The sequence below is a fragment of the Homo sapiens genome (genome assembly GCF_000001405.40).
Source record: "Homo sapiens chromosome 15 unlocalized genomic scaffold, GRCh38.p14 Primary Assembly HSCHR15_RANDOM_CTG1".
In the NCBI taxonomy this organism is placed as follows: Eukaryota; Metazoa; Chordata; class Mammalia; order Primates; family Hominidae; genus Homo; species Homo sapiens.
The window spans coordinates 144,806-167,688 of NT_187382.1; the positions used below are offsets into that span (position 1 = coordinate 144,806).

At 37.0% G+C, this 22,883-nt stretch overlaps 1 protein-coding gene and 1 non-coding gene across 5 annotated transcripts in view; both read right to left on the reverse strand.

The window, feature by feature from the left end:
• The window catches only part of LOC102723502 (POTE ankyrin domain family member B-like), a 34,751-nt gene extending 12,209 nt beyond the window's left edge, over nt 1-22,542 (reverse strand). Inside the window, exons 1-9 of one of the 4 annotated variants that reach the window (NM_001395469.1) lie at nt 21,875-22,542; nt 17,392-17,506; nt 17,059-17,232; nt 14,144-14,250; nt 12,669-12,806; nt 10,090-10,160; nt 4,525-4,595; nt 3,077-3,121; nt 1,865-2,031 (exon numbers count right to left, since the gene is read on the reverse strand). In NM_001395469.1, the coding sequence (NP_001382398.1) occupies nt 1,865-2,031; nt 3,077-3,121; nt 4,525-4,595; nt 10,090-10,160; nt 12,669-12,806; nt 14,144-14,250; nt 17,059-17,232; nt 17,392-17,506; nt 21,875-22,395 (1,409 nt within the window). In that variant the 5' untranslated portion in view covers nt 22,396-22,542. Of the gene's footprint in view, nt 1-1,864; nt 2,032-3,076; nt 3,122-4,524; nt 4,596-7,427; nt 7,695-10,089; nt 10,161-12,668; nt 12,807-14,143; nt 14,251-17,058; nt 17,233-17,391; nt 17,507-21,874 lie in introns of those variants that run through there. The other 3 variants (XM_006724901.3, XM_011546200.2, XM_011546199.2) reach the window with 3 other exon arrangements.
• On the reverse strand, nt 11,284-11,390 carry LOC124905327 (U6 spliceosomal RNA). Its single transcript, XR_007068542.1, has one exon. It is a non-coding gene; the product is annotated as a U6 spliceosomal RNA (small nuclear RNA).
• Nucleotides 22,543-22,883: the final 341 nt, after the last annotated feature.

The following is a 22,883-nucleotide window of genomic DNA, read 5'->3' on the forward strand; positions in this document are numbered from 1 at the left end:
AAGACCAAGAAAAACTAAAAGTTTCAAGGAGAGTATTTCTTGCTTGATAAAAATCAGCCAATTCTAGGACAGTTGATGCTCATCGAATATACAAAGTAATTGATCACCATAAAATACTGAATTCTATTAACAGGAATAAAGTGGCAGAAATGCAGAAAATAATCTTATTTTACAAATGAAATTTTTAAAATTATATGAAGTCACTGTGGAAAAATATGGTGAGGTGAATACCAAAATATATCCTTTTCTCAAAGGAAAGATAATGTCACACATGCTGGGCACTTTTATAAATAAGTGTTACTGCATTAGCAGCACCTTCCTTTTAGCACAAGGGTCAGCAAATTAGCACCTGTGGGCCAAATCCAGCCCACTGCCTGTTTTTGTAAGTAAAGAATCTTGGAACACAGCCATGCTTATTCACTTTACAGTCCATAGAGTCAATTAGCTGGGTGTGATGTTGCACACTTGGGGTCCCAGCTAATAGAGAGGCTGAGGTGGGAGGATCACTAGAGCCCAGAAAGTCAAGGCTGTAGTGAGCTGTGATCACACAATTGCACTCCAGCCTGGGCAACAGAGACCCTGTCTCAAAAAAAATAAATATATATAGTCCACAAAGCCTAAAAATTTACTAAATGGCTCTTTGCAGAAAAAGCTGGCCAGCTCCTGGTTTAGCAGATGAAAGATACTTTGATATATTTTAATAAAAGTTTTACCCAATATACTCAAATGTTTATATTAAATATAGATCCCCATGTACAATCCCTTGGCAATATTCAGATTGAAGGTCCAATATTTTGGCACTCAGGCACTGACAACAAAAATTTAATAACTAGCAATCTCGTTGCTAACAAGGTACAGTGTCAATGTAGCGTGTAGCTTCCATTTGCAACACAGCAGATATTACAAGAATTCTAACAAAATTATCTTAAGATGTGTTACCAAACTAAATGCTTTAAATACATTTTAATTGTGAAATAATCAGTATACTCTAGATCTAACCTCATTTGTAAAAAATGTTTGCATACCGTATTATTTTCTGGGTATGAAAATTGAGCCATTTCCTATTGGTAAGGATTTACTTTTGATAATGATAAATTCCTATTGATAAGGATCCATCTTTTTGATATAATAACGCTGTAAGAAATGTCCTTATACATAAGTATATATGTGACAAATCTATACAAATATCCTTAACATACATATATATCCTTACTATGTTATATATGTGTGTGTGCAAATATGCTAATAAATTAATGTTCAAAATATATTTACCAACAGTGTATGAATTGTCTTTTTCAATGAGACCATTTCCTTTGCAGCAACACACATGGAGCTGGAGGCCATTATCCTAAGCAAACTAATGCAGGAACAGAAAATCAAATGCCACATATTCTTACTCATTTGTGGGAACTAAACAATGAAAACTCATGGACACAAAGAGGAGAATAACAGACACCAGGGTCTACTTGAGGGTGGAGTGTGGCAGGAGGGAGATGACCAAAAAACTACCTCTCGAGTATTTTGCTTATTATGTGGCTGATGAAGTAATCTGTAGTCCAAACCTCCATGACACAGTTTACCTATATAATAAACCTACACATGAACTTCTGAAGCTAAAATAAAAGTTCATTAAAAAGAAAAGGAAATGCCTTTTCCCTCACATTTGCCAATGCCGGTTATTTTTCAAATAAATTAATGACTGGAAAAAACGGTAACTCATTGTTTACTGATTTTCATTTTTCTGATTAACAGGCAAGGCTGAATATTCTAGTAAAAGTATAAAATTTGTTCATCATGAAAGCCCAAATTAGGATTAGTTTGACAGCATATAGTTATCTCCTATTAAATGTTGCCATAGGCTTACCTGTGATACTCTTCATTCTCAGTGTCAGGAAATTGCTGATTTTCAGGTTTTCTGCTCTTCCTTTGTGGAATTAATCCATCATCACCATTGCCAGCACTGGCACCATTAGTCAGGTTTTCTGGTAATCCCACAGGATTACTTCCATGCTTCTTTATTTCTTCTTCAACCTTGAGTGGAAGTTTGATATTAAGGATGGTTATCACTTTATTGAATAAAAATAACCTTTTTAATTGATTTTATCAATTGACTCAGTTTGCCATTATTTTAGTCATTAAAAATATTTCACACTTAAATTTGATCATATATACAGAACTATAACCGTATAATTTTAAGATGTAATTATCATGTCATTAGTATATCACTGAAATTTTTGTAAAGTTTGCTTGATTCCAGCTGTTTGACTGAATAAAACAGAATTTTCCAAAATTCAAAAAGGGCCCTCCTTCATTTTGTGCTTTTATTCCCAAAAACTCTTCAGAATCTTATATATGAATTTACCCCATTTGACTCGTGGGAACACAAAAATAAAACGACATAGACACAAAATGTGTCTTCTGTCTTTACCACCTAGATTTTACATTAAACACTCAGATGTAGAGGATGAGACACTGGGGGGCTTCAGGAATAGAAAGGAAGATGGCCCTTTTCTGCACTAAGATATTCTCCTCCCCCACTGCCTTTGATCGTTCTTTTTTCATTTGGTTCCTGGATATCAAAAACATGATGGTGCTCACTGAAACATGAAAACCAAAGTTTGCCACAACACAAGGAGCAGAGTGAAACTGCTGAGGTGCAAGCATGGAATTCCAGAAAATTAGATGCTCCCCAAATTTCACATTCAATAGCTATACAATTTTCCAGCTGGAAATTACAAAGAATAAGTAATTATCTTCTTTAGCCACATTATCTAGTGATAATCAGACTAAAACCAAGAAAGATAAAAGGATTGGTCCAAATCTCCTAAAGTGGCATTACCTAGCATTTTATGGCACCATTCAGGATTGTTCCATAATAATGAAAGAATCTCTCTAGGGTTTGTATCTCTTGAAAACTCAATGTACAGAATTCTTTCTGAGTTAAATATTAAATTTTTCACTGGTGATTTATGCTACTTACATGATAGGATCATGTATGCGTACACTTACTACACTTTGTTAAACAGCATAACATAAAAATCTAATTCCACAGAAACATTTGAACATAAAGGTATACCTCTCTATCACAGTCCTTATTTATTTCTGGTTCTTGAGACATTTTCTGCAGATGCAAAAATAGAAGGTTAATTTGCTTGTTGTATTTCCGTGTATGTCTCCTCTTTTGGAATGCATGTTAAAATAATTTTATTCTTAAGTAATCAAGTATGGACATGAAAAATTAGAAAATAAAATAAAATTTAACTGTTAAAATAATTAAATAAATAAATAATTAAAATTAAGAATTAACTTTTTAATCTATGTTTAGCTACTGCCACATCATTGGCTTCTGACTAACATGGGAAAATAATTCACCTTAGACAAAGGGAGAATAAAAACATGAACCAGCAAACTTAACTTTGTCACCATTTGTTTGGACTAAACTTAATTTGTTATGTGTTAAATCTACCAAAAATGAATTAGCAGATGATTTGTAGTGTTCCAAGGGCTTCCTCACTTGAAAAGAGTATATCTCATGAAACCCTAACTAGTGAGCCCCTATAGTGCACTGAAGTGCTTTTTAAAAAGATTCCTAATTGGATTGTAGGCACGCTTTAAATTATTAGGAGCTGAAATCAACACCAAACAGGAAGAAATGCAAATTCTTAAATTTTAATTGAAATTATATGCTGTAATATGATAGTGTTATGTATCTAGATGATCTGCTTAAGTCCAGTTCTAATATATTCTAAGGTGTACTAATTACAGTGGATAAAAATTTTTTAATAATCTGTACTGATTTTCTGCAACTAAAATAAGGTAGAAGGTTATTGTGTTTGTGCACTAACACCAAATGTCCCATTCTGCAAGATGTGATTCTTGTAATAGGCAGTTGGGTTGCTTTTATGACCTGGTTCCCTCCCTGAACAGAAATGCTGAGGTCAGTGAGAGACCACAAGGCAGAATATGTCTTTAACCTTGGTATCTGTGACTGACAATATAAAACTGCAGATTTTCAATCACTGGCCGTGATTATTCTTTAACCATGAATCCAGCTCAGGGACCTTCAGTGTTACATTGTTCACAGTTCTATTGCTTAATAATATAATCCAATAATTGATGGTACTTTATCATGTTAGGGTGTTGTAAAAATAAAAGAACAAACAAAGGTCTGGAATATGTTTTTGCCTCTATTCCAAAAGGAAAGATTAGCTATAAGCTAATCAAAAAGGCAGATAAGAATATTTTAAATAAGAATACCATAAAATAAGAGTATTTTAAATTTTATAGTGGTTATGTTTTTAAGCTAAATATCAAATGTTAAGTTAGAATTTATTAATTCTTCTGTTAATGAGATTGCTGAATTTATTAAAATAAATTTTAAGAATCTATTAAAAAATTCTTAAAAAAAGAATCTATTGATTCTTAAAACCTAGTCTGAAAGGTAATTTCATTTGGACTATCTAATATTATTCAAGCAAAGAAAACAACGTTAAATCAAAAATTTAAACTTAAAATTTTCCATGCCTCTGGCTGGCTATTTTCACTGACTTTAAGCCTTTGTGACTCTTCCTCTGATGTCAGCTTTAAGTCTTGTTCTGTTGAGAAATCCATATATTCAGTTAAAATGAACCACTTAGAACAGTTAAAAACTATTGCCTTTATAAAAATAGATTGAAGACAACATTTTATTTTATTTCATAAACTGAGTGTTTAGTCTTTCATGAAATAGTTACTTAGGAAATAATTCTCCAAAACTTCAACAAACCACTTGGGGAGACACCTGATGTGATTCACTCACAAATTCATCCACCCAACATAAATGAACAAAACCACCAGAAACACAACTTTAAAATACAGTAGAAACATATAAGGTAACTCAGTATGTTGTTCACTTCCTAATAGTGAAGCAGTAAATGTAAAGAAAAGGAAATTTAGTTTTAAAGAGAAACAAGTTTTCCTGCACTTAGCTAGTCTGACTCTAAGGATAGTAACAAGCAGGCCCAGGAAAGGTCATGGTGACCCTGTCTGAGAAGCCAGAGCCCACAGGTATGGGCTCCAGACATCCCAGAGCAAGGTTAAGAAAACAAATTCCTTTACCATCTCCCCTCCCCCTCAGCATTTATTCATAGCTATTTTTACAAATGCATATATTTTGCAAATTCTTGTTTTCCTTCAATGCAGCTGCAAGGTCACAAGCTATGCAGTGGTTGCAAAACTGTCACTATATGATTAACTGCCTTTGTTCTGCTTCTATAAGTTTGCCTATATAAGCCAAGCCCTGTCTTTGTTCAGGGCTCAGCTTTTTGATGCAAATCCGCTGAGCTGGTGTGCACCTAAACAAAATCCTCTTGTTTGACCCACTGGGTCTCTCCTGCCTCCTGTTTTCTGCAAAAATAGTACCTTACAAACGATTTCCAAAATTACTACTGACACCTTTATTAGTGTACAATGTCTTCTTAACATCTAAAATGTTTCCATCCACTATTATGACAAATTTATTTTCATTTTTCTTTTTTTTTGTTTTAGCTGGGGTCTTGCTCTGTCACCAGGCTGGAGTGCAGTGGCACAATCTCAGCTCACTGCAACCTCTGACTCCCTGGTTCAAATGATTCTCCTGTCTCAGTCTCCTGAGAAGCTGTGATTACAGGCACACACCATCATGCCCAGCTAATTTTTGTATTTTTAGTAGAGATGGGGTTTCACCATTGGCCAGGATGGTCTTGATCTTTTGACCTTGTGATCCACCTGCTCCAGCCTCCCAAAATGCTGCAATTACAGGTGTGAGCCACCACACCCAGCCTTGTTTTCATCTTTTAAAACAATGCTATGGGAAGTCTTCCTTGATTCTGCAGATCTTTCCCCAGATAAACAGGTAACTCCTTCCTTGAGGTTGCCTTAGGACCTCACTGATTTTTCTACTGCACCTTTACCACCTGAACTGTACACTATTCCTCCACATGTCTGTCCCCTCTGCTCCAAGACTGCAGAGGACAGTCTTGCACATCATCTTTGTAAAAACAGTCTTTATTTTACTCAGAAATTTCTTATTGAGTCCTGCTACATACATGCTAGGTGTTAGGGTTTAAAAAGAATGAAAATAAAGCCTGTCAGGGATGGCTTTTCTAGAACACCTGCCCAAGCAGAGACTTAAATATTGAGGCTAGCTAGATTAAAAGTGGTAGAGGGCAAGAAAGGGTGACAGCATGCCACACAGCAGCAAGAGCAGGAGCGAGGCCTGAAAGAGTGAAAGTATTTGCCTGCAATAGAAGGAGGAGTGAGTAGGGCATTAAGAGCCACTCAGTAATGCCAGAGAAAGGGCACACAGGGAAAAGGGCTAAAGATGTAGAATAGGGCAGAAGTCAGATTATGAAAGCCTTATGTGTACCTTTAAGATGCTTAGACATTAACGTTCAAGAGTGGTCCCTGGTCCTATCTGTATTAAGATGTAGATCATTTTAATGCCAAAACCAATATTCCTAGTGAGCCATTATTCATTAAGACAAGGTGACAGCTAGCTCATGTGGACACAGCTGAGATGATACTATGTAGCAAATTCCCAATAATTCTCATGAACACTTGGAAAGTCAATTCTATAATAAGTCATAGAAATTATAATAAATCACTTAATATTTGTTTGGGAAGGTGCTTTATAAAGTTATAGTGTATATGAATATAACTAATAGTTGTGAATTCAGAGCTGTGAGAATAAAGCAAAAAAAATCACACTGTGTTTGAGTCAGCAATCTTTAGATTTCTATCTAGTCTTCCTACCCAGTCCATAAATTCTAAGTATAATCCTAGTACTCGCTCTCAAGTTTAAGTTAAATGCTAGCCTATACAAAAAATACTCTTTCTCTTACTTCTTTTTTGTTATTTATATGTTGCTTTGTTTAAAGGAAGAACACAAAAATGCCCTGCTAAAGGGATTCTGTTTGGCTGCAGGCTGCAAGAGGGGAAAAACACAAAGCACATTTTGCAGAAAATGATTTTTTAGAAGTCAGAACTATGACATGAAGTCAAGCAGGGCACTCTAGGACTGACTTTGCTGTGCTTCCTTAATATGCTCCTTGCTCTCTTTCTTTTCTGGAAGCTGTGACTCACACAGGTCATGGAGAAAATTTCATACTCCTTCCTCATGCCCAGCTTAAATACTAGTGTACAACGTGGAAACCTGTAAATTATCTGACATTTCTCTCTGTCCTCCAAACCTTTCTCATTCAATTATCACTAAATCATATTGACTATACCTCTCTTCTGCCTCTGCTTTATATTACCACTTCCACTGAGAACATAAACATTTACAAAATGGCTTTTATTACAAAAAAGCCTTCCAACTATTAATGTTATTTCTTACATGAAAAAAATTAAGCAAAACAAATGAAAAAAGCATAACACCAAAAAAAGGCCAACACATTAAAATGAGTAACGGAGATTCCAAACTTTATTTCACCATGGGCAGGTGAAAACCTTAGAATACATTGATACTAGTCCAAGGATGTGTGACATGGAAACTATAGCTGACTACTGCAAAAGCTTCCTTTGTCTCCTGGTTTCTTTACATGGTTATCTTCCATCAATCCCAGCAAACTATAGGCCACAGGACAAATCCAATCTGCCTTTTGGCTTTGTAAATAAAGTTTTATAGGAGCTCAGTCATGCCTGTTTGCTTACATATAATCATGGTGGCTTTCACACTACAACAACAGACAACAGCCTGGTTAAGTAGATATGACAGAGACCACATAGTCTAAAATATTTCCCACCTGGTCCTTTACAGAAAAAGCTTGCTAACCCATTTTACACCATAAGCAGAATATGCCTTAATATTCAAATTTAATCTTGTAACTCCCCTGCTCAAATTTCTCCAATGAGCCCCTGCAGCACACATTGTTGGCTCCTATCAATAGCCATTCCTTATTCTTTCTTGCAGAAGAAACACAAGTCTATTGGGATATTTATTATCCCAATCCCCCTCCTCAGCCTCAGAAAGAGAAATGTTTATTCTAAGCTAATCATGTATTTGCCATCCCATTGCCTGGTTTGGGAATGAGCATGTGGTGTGACCCAGCCAATGAAATGTTACAGGAAGCCCCTTGCATGCTTCTAAGTTTTCTCCCTGTTTAAAAGACACATGTGAAGAAAAGCAGCCCTTGAAATGTTGTGTTGTGAGAACAAGATGTTTGGAGCTGCTGCGGATTAGCCAACCACAAAAGGAAACATGAAGAAAACACTGCCAACAGCACAGCTGAAAGAGGGACAAATGGGATCCTAGGATATCACTGAACAACCAAAACAACTCTGGTTCCTACTGTTTTAGCCACTGCTCATCTAGTATTTACAGTCCAAAGCATTCTACCTGGTAAATTTCCCATGGCCCACAGGGTAAGACCTACTCATTTCTATAGTATTAAAAAAGTCTATCATAAACTTGCCTTAGCTAAGTATTCACCTCATTCCCAAACTCTGGTGTCTCACACTTTTGGTACTAGCAAAAGTGAACTGCTCAGAAACCCTGCAAAGTTCACTCGGCATCTTGTCTTTTGCAGTTGTTGCTCTTCCTGCCAAACAGGCAATCTCATCAGATGTTCTTCTGGCAAACACACAAACTTGTTGCATGTTCCTCCTGCCAAAAATTATTCTTCTGCTTCTTTACCTAGAAAAATTCTTCTCACTCTGCAGGCTTACTTTGAATCATACCTACTTTTTTTCAAAACTTTCATTCCTCATCACGTATGTCTGGCACATAATTAATACATAATAAATCATAATTTTAAGCTTCCAGTTGGCAACTAGCACACAGTAAGCACTGAATAAAGTAGTAAAATAATAAAAATGACAATGATAATAACAAGCTCCTGTCTGTATTTTTAATTGTGTGTGTTCTGTAGCATTAGAAAAATGATTAGTATCTAAAAGACATTTGATAGTTATTTGTTAAGTGGACAAGTGAAAACATAGAAATGTTTTCTTTGTAAATTCTGTTGAAAAAGCACAGAAATGAAATAGAGACACCTCTATTATGAGCACCTTAAAGATCAAAACTACATCTATTCCATCTTTGTCTTCTGCAACTTATAAAACCTAACTTACAGAAGCTTTTTGATAAATAGATGGCTAAATTAAAGGTGTCCTCATCCAGTTTGGATTATACAATGTATTAGGTGTCCACAACCAGGTGGCATACTAGTATTTTTGTTAATGTGAAGCATTTTTCTACTTTTATTATAATCTGCTGAGCCTAGAGTTGGGCAATTTGTATATTTATTATGACAATCTTTTGGTAAATGGTAGCAGAGCATCTTGTTCTAACAAAATTACTGTTATCAAGACAATTGACCAGCAGGTAGAGAACACATCTTGTTCAAACAAAGTAAATGTATCTCTTTCCAACTTCAAATGAGGAGGAATCAAGTCAGTAAGAGTGAGACCTTGTTGGGACAAGGATATGTAACATGACTTGTGCTTTGGCGTTCTTTTGTGATCAAAAATTCCTTACTTTTATTTTTTTATCTATGGTAGGACCACCCAGAGCAGGGGTCCACAACTCCCAGGTCACAGACTGGTACCAGTCCATGGACTATTATGAACCACACCACACAGGAGGAGGTGAGCAGCAGGCAAACCAGGGAAGCTTCACCTGTACTTACAGCCACACCCCATGGCTCATATTACCGCCTGAACTCTGCCTCCAGTCAGATCAGTGATAGCACTAGATACTCATTGGAGCATGAACCCTATTGTGAACTGCTCATCTGAGGGATCTAGGTTGTGTGCTTCATATGAGAAACTAATGCCTGATGATCTGTCACTGTCTCACTTTGCCCCCAGATGAGACCATCTAGTTGCAGAAAAATAAGCTCAGAGTTTCCACGGATTCTACATTATGGTAAGTTGTATAATTATTTCATTATATATTACAATGTAATAATAATATAAAGTAGCACAATAAATGAAACATGGCTGAATAATCCTGAAACCATCCCCACCTTCCCCCAGCCCATGGAAAGACTGTCTTCCACAAAACCGGTCCCTGATGCCAAAAACATTGTGGACAACTGACCTAAAGTAATTCATTATCACAAGTCTTACCTGGATTGCTGTTTTCAGAAGAGATTTTTAGCATCTGTTTTTCTTTATAGTCAGAAAGTAATTCACAAATTCTATGTATAAAAATGTAATAAACCAAATTACTATTTTAATACTGATATAAAAAATACTTACCAAATGTAAAATTCTTAGAGTATTTCAAACAATATCATAATATCAGAATTTAACAGTATTATCCCATACACTTATGAGTACATTCTACAAACTTTTCTTTAAGCTTCTAATTAAAGAAGAAAAAAAATTAGGTGAAATGCTCATAAATCAAGGGCACTGTGACCCAGTAAATCAGCATGCATTAGCATGACATAATAGAAAGTGTCCCAACTCTGCATAAGTCCTAGCTCCATAATGAACAGCTATTTGTTCTTGGACAACTTTCTTCTCTTAGGCTCAATGTCTTCTTCTACAAAGTGAGGACTTTGCTGCCTTATTTCACTAGGTTGTTATAAAGATTTAACAAGGTAACATTTTTTAAATGCTCAGAGAAATAGTAAAGCAATGGAATAATCTGTTCCTAAACTTTATGACTAAAATTATCTTGGAATCCCAAATAAAACCCCATGTGTATTTTGTTCATAGGTTCTAATATGCAAATGCTGTAGTTTTCAGAAAATGTTATTAAGTCCTAATTTTGCTTCTTAGTTGTCCTACTCCTTATGGCTTATCATTCAGGGCATCTCAACTGTGTCATAGTTTGTAACTAAATTTTTTCATAAATCTCTCATTAAAGTAGATAATGTGATTGTCCACTATTACGGAGTTGACCAATTTGTTGTGCTAAGGGCAGAAAAACCAATGGATGTTAAGACCTGGCTTGGAGCAATGATCCTTCTCTACAGACTCAAACTCTGAGCCAGCAGATGTTTGTTAGGATAATGCTTTATGTTGATGTTCAATTCCAGCTGACATGGGAGACCAAAACTCTACTTTTATTTTTTTTCAGTTTTCATGAAGAAGTTGCAAATTGACATTCTCTAATTTTTGACGTACATACTTATAATATATTTTGCACTGAACACATTATTGAGCTCTAAATCATCTCACAGACCATCTTCCATGACTATTTTTGCAGCACAAATCACATTTCGATATTTTGGTGGCACCCATTTTGCTTTGATTCACACTGTTTCCTTAGAGCTAGTCAGCAAATAGTGAAATGATCTTCCAGTGACTGCACAAAATATGGAATGCTTCAAAGAGTTGTGCTGCCTCCTTATGCAGAAGCCGTGCTAACTTTCTCTGTATTGTTCCAATTTTAGGATATGTGCCGCCAAAGCAGGCACAAAGCCCTACTTTTACACATGATTTGTGATGAGTCATGGGCAAGGCTTGGCTCTTGTCCATGACTCATCACTACTTACTTAACCCACTTGAGATTCTGAGAATTCTCTTCAATGGCTTCCTGTGAGGTACAATTTGAAAATATTTTAAAATCTTGAGCTAGAGATGGAAGTAGCTTGGACGATTTTCATTATCATGTAAATCAGATCACTCAAGGGGCCAACCACAGCTGGGAGCCACTGCTTGGGGAAGGCTCATATGGGACTTTCTACTGCCTAAGGTTCTACACAGGATATAAAGGTGCCTCACAGTGTAGATCTGGTAGCAAAGAAGAAGAAACAAACACTGATCTCTTTCTGCCACATTATTTGAACCCCTCTGACCCTTTATAACAAGCCCACCTCATATCTGCTAGAGAAAAGACCAACAACGGCCTGAAAGGATCTCTTACCATGAAGGTCTCAGCTAATTCTTAGCTAAGATGTGGGTTCCACATTAGGTTCTGAATACAGGAGGAAGGGTCAATTTGCTCACTTTGTGTGCGGATAAAGTCAGGATGCCCAGCGGCCAGAGCAGGGTGCTGGTGCTTTGGGAACAATGGCTGAGCATATAAGCATAGGTAAGGGAACTAAAAAATGTTGTAACTTCAAAGTCACTGTGTGAATCCCCATGAAGACTTGAGGGATCTGAATCAGTAAGGGCACCTTGGTGTCAAAGGTCAACAATTACCAGGCAGCAGAAGCAGTTTGAGTGGCAACAATGCAGCAACAGAAACAATGGAAACAACAGAATGATTGGAATGTCCTTTTTTCTCTCCTCCTTCTGACTTGATAAAAGGGACTGTCTTCCTTGGATTTAGTGAACCCCTTTGGTTCTTGAAAAATTCAAGGAGTATGTAGGAGACAGTCCCCAGAAGACAGTACAAGGCTTTCTGCTAAACTGGACATTTCAAGACCCAAATAACTAATCAGAAAAATCAAAGATGTGATACTCTTTTTTATGCCATGCATAGGTGTTATACTTGGATGAAATGAACAATATTGGGATCTCTAAGGATAAAGGTCTTAAAAGTCCTGAGGTAAAGAATCCTGCACCCATTGGTACTTCTAACTTGTCTTGCTTTTTGTCTGATTTCTGGCTGATGCAGGGGACTAACTCACTGCCACTCTAAAACTACCTGAACCAAACTATGACATCTCACCTGATATGTAAGATGCAATTGTTATAATTATTTTAAACCTCAATTTAGCATTAACTAGCCTTTTCATGTAAACACTTACACATGATGATGACTAGAAACAGCATACTCTCTGGCCGTCTGTCCAGATAGATCTTGAGAAGATACATCAACATTTTGCTCAAGTAGAAGATTGACTATACTTGCTGATCCACAACATACAGCAAGTATGAGGGCAGTTCTAAAATTACAGAGATAATTTCTCCTTTAGGAACTGTAATAAAGTTATTTTAAAAGCTAATTTGATATACTTTACCAATTTGACATCTTGCCTGTCCATGCAGAATCAAACATTTACATGCGCTAAAAGACATAAGCATCTTGGGTGCTCAAGAGTTCATCTTTGTAAAATACCACCAAGGTTAAAAGGAAGGGACAAAAAGGAAACCTCTTATCTCAGTGGGGTATTGCATAGCAGAAGCTACTAATTTAAAGTCCTTTGATGGGCAAGAAACAATGCTAGGGCCACTTATCTGAAGTGGACAAAGATTTAAGTGAAGATTTTGTCACAGCTTCCCTAGACTGATATGCTGTAATAGAAAATTAGCTAGGGGCTAAGATAAATAAGAGCTCTCTGCATGCTGAAAGCAGTAATATTAATAATAATGGTAAGAATAGTAGTCACAGGAGTTTCAGTTAATGATGCCAATAAGCATGTGCTACGCACTGAATTAAATGCCACACGTATCTTTCTTGCTTATGCACAGCCAACTTTGAAGGATATATTCTCCTACTTTTCACATATGACAACATATTGGGTGGTAAATCACGTTCCCAATGTCACACACGTAGCAAGTAAGAAAGTTAGGAATTAAACCCAGTCTTGTGTGAATCCAAAGCGTAGCTCTTTTCTCTTTATCACCCACCTACAGCTTGCCTTCATTAAAGGAAAAGTGTATCCACTTAAAACTATCTTCACTCCCTCTCTCCATACCAACTAAAAATAAAAACATCAAAATACACTGGAAATAAAAAAGGAAAAAAGCTGTTGAACCCACAGTATGTGGGAATAGCAATTAATTGTCATGTAGGGATAAGCTAACATTAATATTCTTCAAAGAAAGCAACTTAAAGCAGAGTCATTGAAAAGACAAAAGGATTTTCAACTCCTATTTATGTTTAATACAGCATATTTAGTGGAAAAGCATATAAGATACAGAGGTTAAAACCTACTAGAAAGGGTTAAAAAGTTCAATACTGAGTCATAAAGTAAACTGAAAGTTAAAGTTCAAACTTCATAAAATTAATATGAAATCCCTTTAGCTAACATAAGATCATGTAACCAAAAACATCATACAACAAATAACATCAGTCAATATAATAAGAGAAGATGAATCCTACTAAAACAGTTCTTTATGTTGCCCAGTCCAAATAATTGCTTTTCTACTTAACTGATTTGTGTTGATACTGATCACTATGTCCCAATAAGTATAATTTGATCTTATTAATTTATTATTTATGACTTGAGTGACTGCTATCAATCTAGAACAACACACAGATTAAAAGAAATAACCATACCTTCCATATCTATCAAGTGCATTTAAATTAGCTTTTTTCTTGATTAAAAATTTCACCACTTCCTGTTTTTGTTCATGTACGCCAAGCAAAAGTGGTGTGAGGCCACACTGTAAAACAATATAAAACAAAAACAATATGTAATTCAAAAAATTATGTATCTCTCAACTGAACTGGAAGCTTATGGACTTACACTCACAGAAAGTAAATAAAATTTGGTCGCTTCCTTCTCACTCTTCTGTACTTTCCCACGTGCCACTCCTTCCCTTGGAAACATCCCTTCTCTGCCTCACCACATTAAATCTGATCATCTCAAAAACTCACTTTAAACATTTACTGTTTCCAAGACTCTTTGTTTCTAAATGAGCATTTGGCATGGCACTTTTGGATGATTTTTTTTTCATTTAAACAAAAAGCTTCTTGAGGGCAGGGGCTGTATCTTTTATCTCTATTATTATCCAATCCTAAGACAAAATTGTTGTGTATAAAGCAAGAATTTGAATGTAAAATATTTCTTTAGTTTCACATGTTTTACCAAAGTTCAAGCTCCAACATGCAATAAATATTGCTATTAATACTCACACTGCCCATTTCAAGAATTTTTTCCAACATTTATTCATTTAAAATCTATTTGTATTTAATTTTTCCAGATTGTTAACTAGATAGATAATCAGTTCATAGGATTACTGAAACTAAGAGATTTCCTATCTGTATTCTTAATAACTCCATGGTTTTGAGTGTTTAAACCTGCCATCCTGATTAAGCCAAAGCTCTACAAACTTAAGAGACATACTGGATAGCCCACAATATAGCTTCAATTGACAAAAAAGGTTTAGAATTTGCTACAATTCTGAGAAAACTCTGCTCTTAAAAACGACTTACTGACCTAAGCACTTGAATGATTGAACAAAGGGACACAAAGTCCTGAGAGAGCCATCCTCTACTTATTGGAAGACTACTCACTGCAAATTTCTAAAGACCTTCTGAATGGCAGTGAATAACTGATGGTAGAAAGGAAAAGGTATTATTCTGTAAGCTGATAGATAGTGCCAATAATATTTATTTTAATGTCCCAACGACAGAGATAAGTCAGACTAGGCCAGGAATGGTGGCTCACACCTGTAATCTTAGCATTTTGGGAGCCTGAGGTGGGTGATTCACTTGAGCCCAGGAGTTCAAGATCAGCCTGAGAAACATGGCAAAAACCTCATCTCTACTAAAAAAAAAAAAAAATACAAAAACAGATTGGAGGACCACCAGAGCTTAGGGACGTCAAGGCTGTGGTGATCTGTGACCGCACCACTGCACTCCAGCCTGGGGAACAGAGTGAGACCCCATCTCAAAAACAAACAAACAAAAATTTAGATTAATGTTATTGGAAAGGAAAGATTTAAAGGAATTAGCACATATCCAACTCCAACTCTTCTAGAAATATCTGAAGTTTCTGAGATATAAGAATTTACATATTACACTTATGTATTCAGTGGTTAAGCAGGAGTGTATCCGGATTTTGAGAAATTTGTTGTTGTTGTTGTTAGAGACAGGGTCTCATTATGTTGACCAGGCTAGACTAGAACTCCTAAGCTCAGGCAATCCTCCCACCTCAGCCTCCCTAGCAGCTGGGACTACAGCCATGCACCACCATGCCTGGCTTCAAGGAAACATTTTTAAACATACATATCCAGGCTTTATTAGACTTACTCTATCAAAATCTTCAGGGGAAAACCTAGACTTGAAGATTATTTAAAAATTTTCCTGAGGTAACTGGAATGCACAACTCTAGCTGGAAGCTAGTGCAATAGACAATTATTTCAGTCTCATCTCTCATCACATAAACAATTCCCTTTATCATTTGAGGATTTGGCCAAAAAGAGGAAAGAGTAGGAGAGAGACTCATTTGCTGAAAACACCACAAAATTTTCCCCGGTAAGAGTAGAACAAGGTCTAGTAAACTCAAAATCCAACCTGATCTTTTTACTTATAAGCCCCTTATCTCCCACCTTCCCATCAAGACATTCTAGAATTGAAAGCAGAGTTGAGACTCTAATTGGCCATTTCTACCAGAATAGTATACTAAGTTGGTTAATTACTTGTTATTCCTTCTACTCAAGGGTTTCCCACTACATTACCACATATTCACTGCCAGTCTGGTTCCTCAGAGGCCTCCTAAAATTGATCTCTAGGCAGTTTACAACCCACTAACTCCCTCTCCCAAACTGAAAACTGTCATTCTCTAAAATGGAAAAGAACCCTGTCTCACCATATAAAGGAAACAAATGAATGAACAACAATAACAACACACACACACACACACACACACACACAAACAAAAACAAAAACAAAAAAAAACCTCTTCATGGTCTTTTCCCCCATTACCTAATTTCCAAGTTGGCCTTGGTATTTCTGATTGCTGCATTTTTCCCTTTCCAATTCTGCCTCATGAGCAATCAGAAATATCTTAAGCCTTGCCACTGAGAGATACATCACCTCATATCTATTAGTGTTTTTTTAGGAATTTGCCAAAGTAGCAGGATTACTATTCACTGAAACATGTTTAAGTTTTCTTGGAGTTTTAATGTAAAACCTATTTCCAGGGCAAATTTTGTCATTTTACATTTGTTAGGGGAAAAAAAACTTGACAGGGAAAAATTGAAAAAAAAAAAGTATTACCTTTTACAAATTCAGTGTTTTTTTTTTAAAAAGCATTAACCACAAGTGCACTGAAAAAAACTGTACCCTCTAATGCTTCTTTAAAAGTAACAATATTTAAAATAAAGTCTTAGATAATTAAGTCATTTCAAAATATTTTCATTCAGGTTATGCTTGAGCTTCCAAATACGGAAAACTGGCCCTTACACAGGTCAATGTTAACACGAATGCATTTCAGTATTTTGAAGATAAAATTGGTAGATCTATACCTTGTTTTTTGATTCAATATCAGCACCATATAAGAGCAGTGCTTTGGCCATTAATTTATCTTCATTGTAGATAGCATAGTGTAGAGCGGTATTTCCATACTCATCTTGAATATTTCCATCAGCGCCATGTTCCAGCAACATTAACACACATTCATCTTCCTGGCATTGTACGGCCTGTCAGTATTAGACCAAAAACAAATTATAAGTCCTAGGAATTCAAAATAACATTCCACAGCTTTCACCAACTAGTTATATTTAAATGAGAAAACTCATTTTTATGCTATCTATTGAAATCAAACCCATCTCACGCTGATATAGTTGACTACTGCATACCTTTATCAGAGCTGTCCTTTTTTTGTTGTCAAGGACGTTAAGTTGACATCGTCTGTCCAGCAGGAGTTGTACTACTTCTGAATTTCCATTGGCAGAGGCCAAATGTAGAGCAGTCCTATGAGAGTGAGAAGACTTCAGGAAATTGTAGTGCACTAGCTAATGCCACATTAATGATTCATGTAGTTGCAAACACTGAATAGCCTATTACTCTGCCTTCAAAACAAACTCAATTTTCCTTTGAAGAAAGCACACTACTTATTACCTCTCATTAGTCACTGTATTAATGAAAGAGCAGCCTATTTGAATAGAAAGAGCATAGCTCTTGGATGACATTCAACTTGGGCTGGAATCCTACTTGAAGCTCTGTCGCTTCCTAGCTGTTGCTTAGCCTTTTTGTGTCTCAATTTCCTCATCAATAAAATGGGAATGAAAATAGTCAGTTTCTCAGAGGAAACCACTGTAATGCTTAAATAAGACTCTACACAAAATATAGAATAGTTCCTAACACAAATAACAGCTCAAAACTTGTAAGATATTATAATTTTTACTAATACCACTAAAGACAACATTTGAATTAAGTGAAACGATACAATTATACCTACACTTTCAGGTACATTTTAAAGATTACAGGTAGCGTTGTACTGTATTTTATTGAGTCTAAGATGATCATTGTCTCCATGTTTTAACATTTCTTACACTGAAATACCACTTATTAATTCATGATTTACTATAATTATAATTGGCAGCATTTAAATAATTTTCTTAGTGAGACATAAAATAATGGGGCATCATACAATCCCTGGTGCCTTACATTAAGTAGAATATGTTATAATATAACAGGTCTGGGGCAGTTCCAGTCAGATGACTAGCATTTAGATAAATTTTAGTTCTTAAAAGAACTATGGAATAAGAGGGCTGAGGTGAAAACAAAAACAATTTTCTAAAATAATCTATTTCTTACTTTGGTTTTCAAAAACTTTAAGCCAAAGAAATCTTGAAATTCAAATGAATAGCATGGGCTCATTTTTTTCAATACTTAGATTTATACAACGTATGTACATCAGATATTTCCAATCATTCATATTAGGATTTAAGACTGTTATAAATTTTCTCTTTTTAAAATGGATTTATGAAACTATTTGTGGAGCTTTTTTCAACTTTTACATTCGGGGATACAGGTGCAGGATGTGCAGGTTGGTTAACATAGGTAAACGTGTTCCAAGAGGGTTGGCTGTACAGATTATTTCATTACTCAGGTGTTAAGCCTAGTACCCATTAGTTCTATTTCCTGCTTCTTTCCTTCCTCCCACCCTCCACCCTCTGATAGGCCCCAGTGTGTGTTGCTTCCCTCTAGGTGTCTGTGTGTTCTCCTCATTTAGCTCCCACCTATAAGTGAGACCATGCAGTATTTGGTTTTCTCTTCCTATGTTAGTTTGCTAAGGATAATGGCCTTCAACACCATCCATGTCCCTGCAAAGGACAGGCTCTTGTTCTTTCTTTTATGGCTACATAGTATTCCATGCTGTTTATGTACCACATTTAAGTTCTTAAAACAGCTAAAACAGTGTTTACCCAAGTCTTATACATTTTCAAAAGGGCAGTTAAGGGTTATCTTTTACTATTTTCCACCTTCAGAAGTGCTTTTGTTTGAAAGGAGGGAGGAAAAGCTTCAATTGAGATTAAGTCCTAATGCCCCAATTTTGATTCTCTCAGCTTGCTCAGGTGCAGCAGGTAAACATGAAGTTTTCAAAGGTGGAAGGATCCTGAGAGATAGCAGAATATGCCTGCCATATAATAGGTGTCTGGCTTATGTTTGATGACTAAACGGATTGAAAGAATGGATAAACATAGGTTGGAAGTTCAATATTTTTTAAAGAAAACTCCTGTTGAGTAGAGCAATACATTTGCGATAGTAACGATCATTTATATTTGCTATTTTAGTTTTCATAAATATATAACTAAACTAAAATAATTAATCCATACTATTTACACATCAATCTATATATAATAAGATGTATACACAATAAAATCTACCAGAAGAGGTAAACAGAAGCCCTCTACTTCTGAAGAGGGTAAAAGTTCACAGAAGATAGCCATCCACAGGTATAAAAATAAATAATAGAATGTAAGAAATTATTTGTATCTATGCAAGTAGCATATTCCTTCTCTTCCCAAGGATTATTTCATTACTAATGAAACTTAACTAAAACTTTGCAGATGTTCATTGCAGAAATCACAGATAAGAGAAAGGGAAAAACTTCACTTACAAATCCCCAGAAATAAGTTTGATTATATTTTCCACATATTTCCAGCTAACACAAGAGCAGATTCTATTTGTGTATATGTATAACAAACTGATTTTTTCTCACTTGATACAGCAAAGTACATCTCTGCATGCCGACATATCTCTGTATCTACTGACACCCTCAATGGTTACATATTATTCCATCCTATGGATGCACTGAAATTTGTTCATAAAATCTTTATATGAGTTCTTCTAAATACATGGCTATTTTAAGCAATACTAAGAAAAACAGCTGTGTCTGTTTCATATAGATATTTCAGTATAATGGAACAGATGGGTAAAAGGCATACACATTTTAAAAATGTGGTTCTTACCATCAAAGTGTCTATTTGAAAAGCCGCAGCAACTTAAACTTTCAGCAGGTATATAAGTACCACTGTTCTTCACCCTCACAAACTTTGTGGACACAAAACAGTATTTCATTCCTTTATATTTATTTATTTATTTTTTTGAGATGGAGTCTCACTCCATCACCCAGGCTGGAGTGTAGTGGTGCAATCTCAGCTCACTGCAACCTCCGTCTCCCTGGTTCAAGCAATTCTCCTGCCTCAGCCTCCTGAGTAGCTAGGATTACAGGTGCATGCCACCATGCCCAGCTAATTCTTTGTATTTTTAGTAGAAACGGGTTTCACCATGCTGGCCAGGCTAGTATCAAACTCCTGACCTCGTGATCCACCTGCCTTGGCCTCCCAAAGTGCTGGGATTACAGGCATGAGCCACCATGGCTGGCCTTTCATTCCTCTTCTAACTTAAACAGAAAATAGTCTTTCATTCCTCTTCTAACTTAAATTCCTTCTCTTAGCAGGAATGCTATGTTTTCCTATGTACACAGGTCACTGGTAGACATGCAAAAAAGTACCTTGCCCAATTTTAAATTGAGCTTATTTTATTATATCTGCATATATATGCCGGTTTCAGTGGCTCATGACTGTAATCTCAGCACTTTGGGAGGCTGAGGTGGGTGGATCACAAGGACAGGAGTTCAAGACCAGCCTGGCAAAGATGGTGAAATCCCGTCTTGATTAAGAACACAAAAAATTAGCCAGGCATGGTGGTGGGTGCCTGTAATCCCAGCTACTTGGTAGGCTGAGGCAAAGAATTACTTGAACCAGGAACCAGAGGTTGTAGTGAGCTGATATTGCACCACTGCACTCCAGCCTGGGCTATGGAGTGAGAGTCTGTCTCAGAAAAATAAATAAATATTTGCACATATAAATAGGCATTTGTGTTTTCTTCTGGTACTTTTCTCCTTTTGTATCTTTAAAATTTTTAATCTATACTCCAGGAACTTATTTTTGTGACATAAAAATCTAGGTAGTTTTCTCCAAACAGCATGCATTTAATTTATGAATAATTCACCTTGTTTTACCAATATGAAACATCACCATTATCAAGTGCTAAATTCTTACATATATTTGGGTATTTCTGGATTTCCTATTCTGTTCTGTTCACTTATGTCTTTTCAGCTGTTAGTAAACAATTTGTGGAAATAACACACGCACATTTTGATATCTGGAAAAGCAAGTCTTTTTCCATTCTGTTACAAAAAATCAATTTATCACAATGATAAAATACATCATGTGCAATTTAAAGACACTAAGACTTTGCTATTTTTATTTGGCTTATGTAAAAGTGATAAACACAGAAAAAGCTCACATCTTAAGAAAAACGAACCTTCCTATTCAAAGATATGAACCATACTTCCCATTTCAGTTTCCTTTTAAGGTTACTCAGTAAAGAACGTGTTTACATAGGGTACACATCGATATAAAATCCATATTGGATTTTATTTGAAAAATATTTAGCCCAGAAGTTGATATATTATGGGACTTAGTTCTCAATATACACCTTTCTATAGTGTATAGAACATTGTTTTAAAATGTGTACATTAAAAATAATCTGCTGCATCGACTTAATTTTGCGAGTTAAATCACTTTAAAACCGTCTATTAGTGTTCTATAAGGGAAATTATAATTGGATTGGAAATCAGCTAAAGTTTTGTTTTTGTGTTGCTGTTTATAAAGGGACCTGGGCCCTGACATCTCTGAGGTTTCCACACCCAGGGTGGTGTGGGGCCTGCGGAGGAAGAGAAAGCCTGGCTCCTCCCTCCCTGTGCCAGGAGGGTATGTCCCCATCATCCCCCCATGTCCCGCCTCTTCCCATCCCAGGCCCGGTTACCTCTTTTGCTTGTCCCTCTTGTTCATGTCAGTGTCCCTGAGCATGACGATGAGATCCTTTCTGGGGACTTTACCCCACCAGGCAGCTCTGTGGAGCTTGTCCAGATCTTCTCGACGGACGTGGTACCTCGGCTCCATGAAGGCGCTGTCGTCGTAGTCTCCCCAAGTGCCCACGTTGCTCTTGCCGCTCCCCCTGCAGCAGGGGAAGCAGTGACAGCACCACTTGCCCATCTTGCTCCTGAGTGTCTTCATAAAGGAGTTGTCATGGTCTCCAGAAGTGCCCACATTGCTCGTGCCGCTCCCCCTGCAGCAGGGGAAGCAGTGATGGCAACACTTGCCCATCTTGCTCCTGAGCGTCTTCATAAAGGAGTCGTCGTGGTCTCCAGAAGTGCCCATGTTGCTCTTGCCGCTCCCCCTGCAGCAGGGGAAGCGGTGGTGGCACCACTTGCCCATCTTGCTTCTGAGATCAAATGGCTTCTTCACAGCAGAGGCAGCGGGCATTGAACAAACCTCAGCCACCATCTGCTTTTAACAGCCAGGGGAGGCCGGTAGTAGCGAACAGATCGCGTCTACCAACCAGTTTCACCAACTAGCAGGAAACCCTGGGTTTCCAATCTGTTTGAAGAGAAAGGTCAATCCCAGCCAAAACTTGCCAAGCCCAGCAAGGGAGCCCAGCCCACCCCACCCAGGGAAAACCCACACCCACCCGGGGAAAGCCCACGCCCACCAGGGGGACCCCACGCCCACCCCAGGAAAGGCCAAGCCCCCCCTCCCAAGGAAACACCCAGCCCAGTCAAGGGAATGCCAAACCCAGCAGAGAAAAGGTCAAGTCCAGCAAAGGAATGCGAGGGAGGAAACGCCAATCCAAGCAAGAAACACCAGGCAAAGCTACTAACAGCCAAGCCAAGCTAGGAACGCAAGGCCAAGGGAGGAACGCCAAGCGAAGCGTACCCGTTACAGGTAAGCCAAGCCGTTATGCGCGTGCGGGGCGCGCGTGCGGGGCGCGCGCC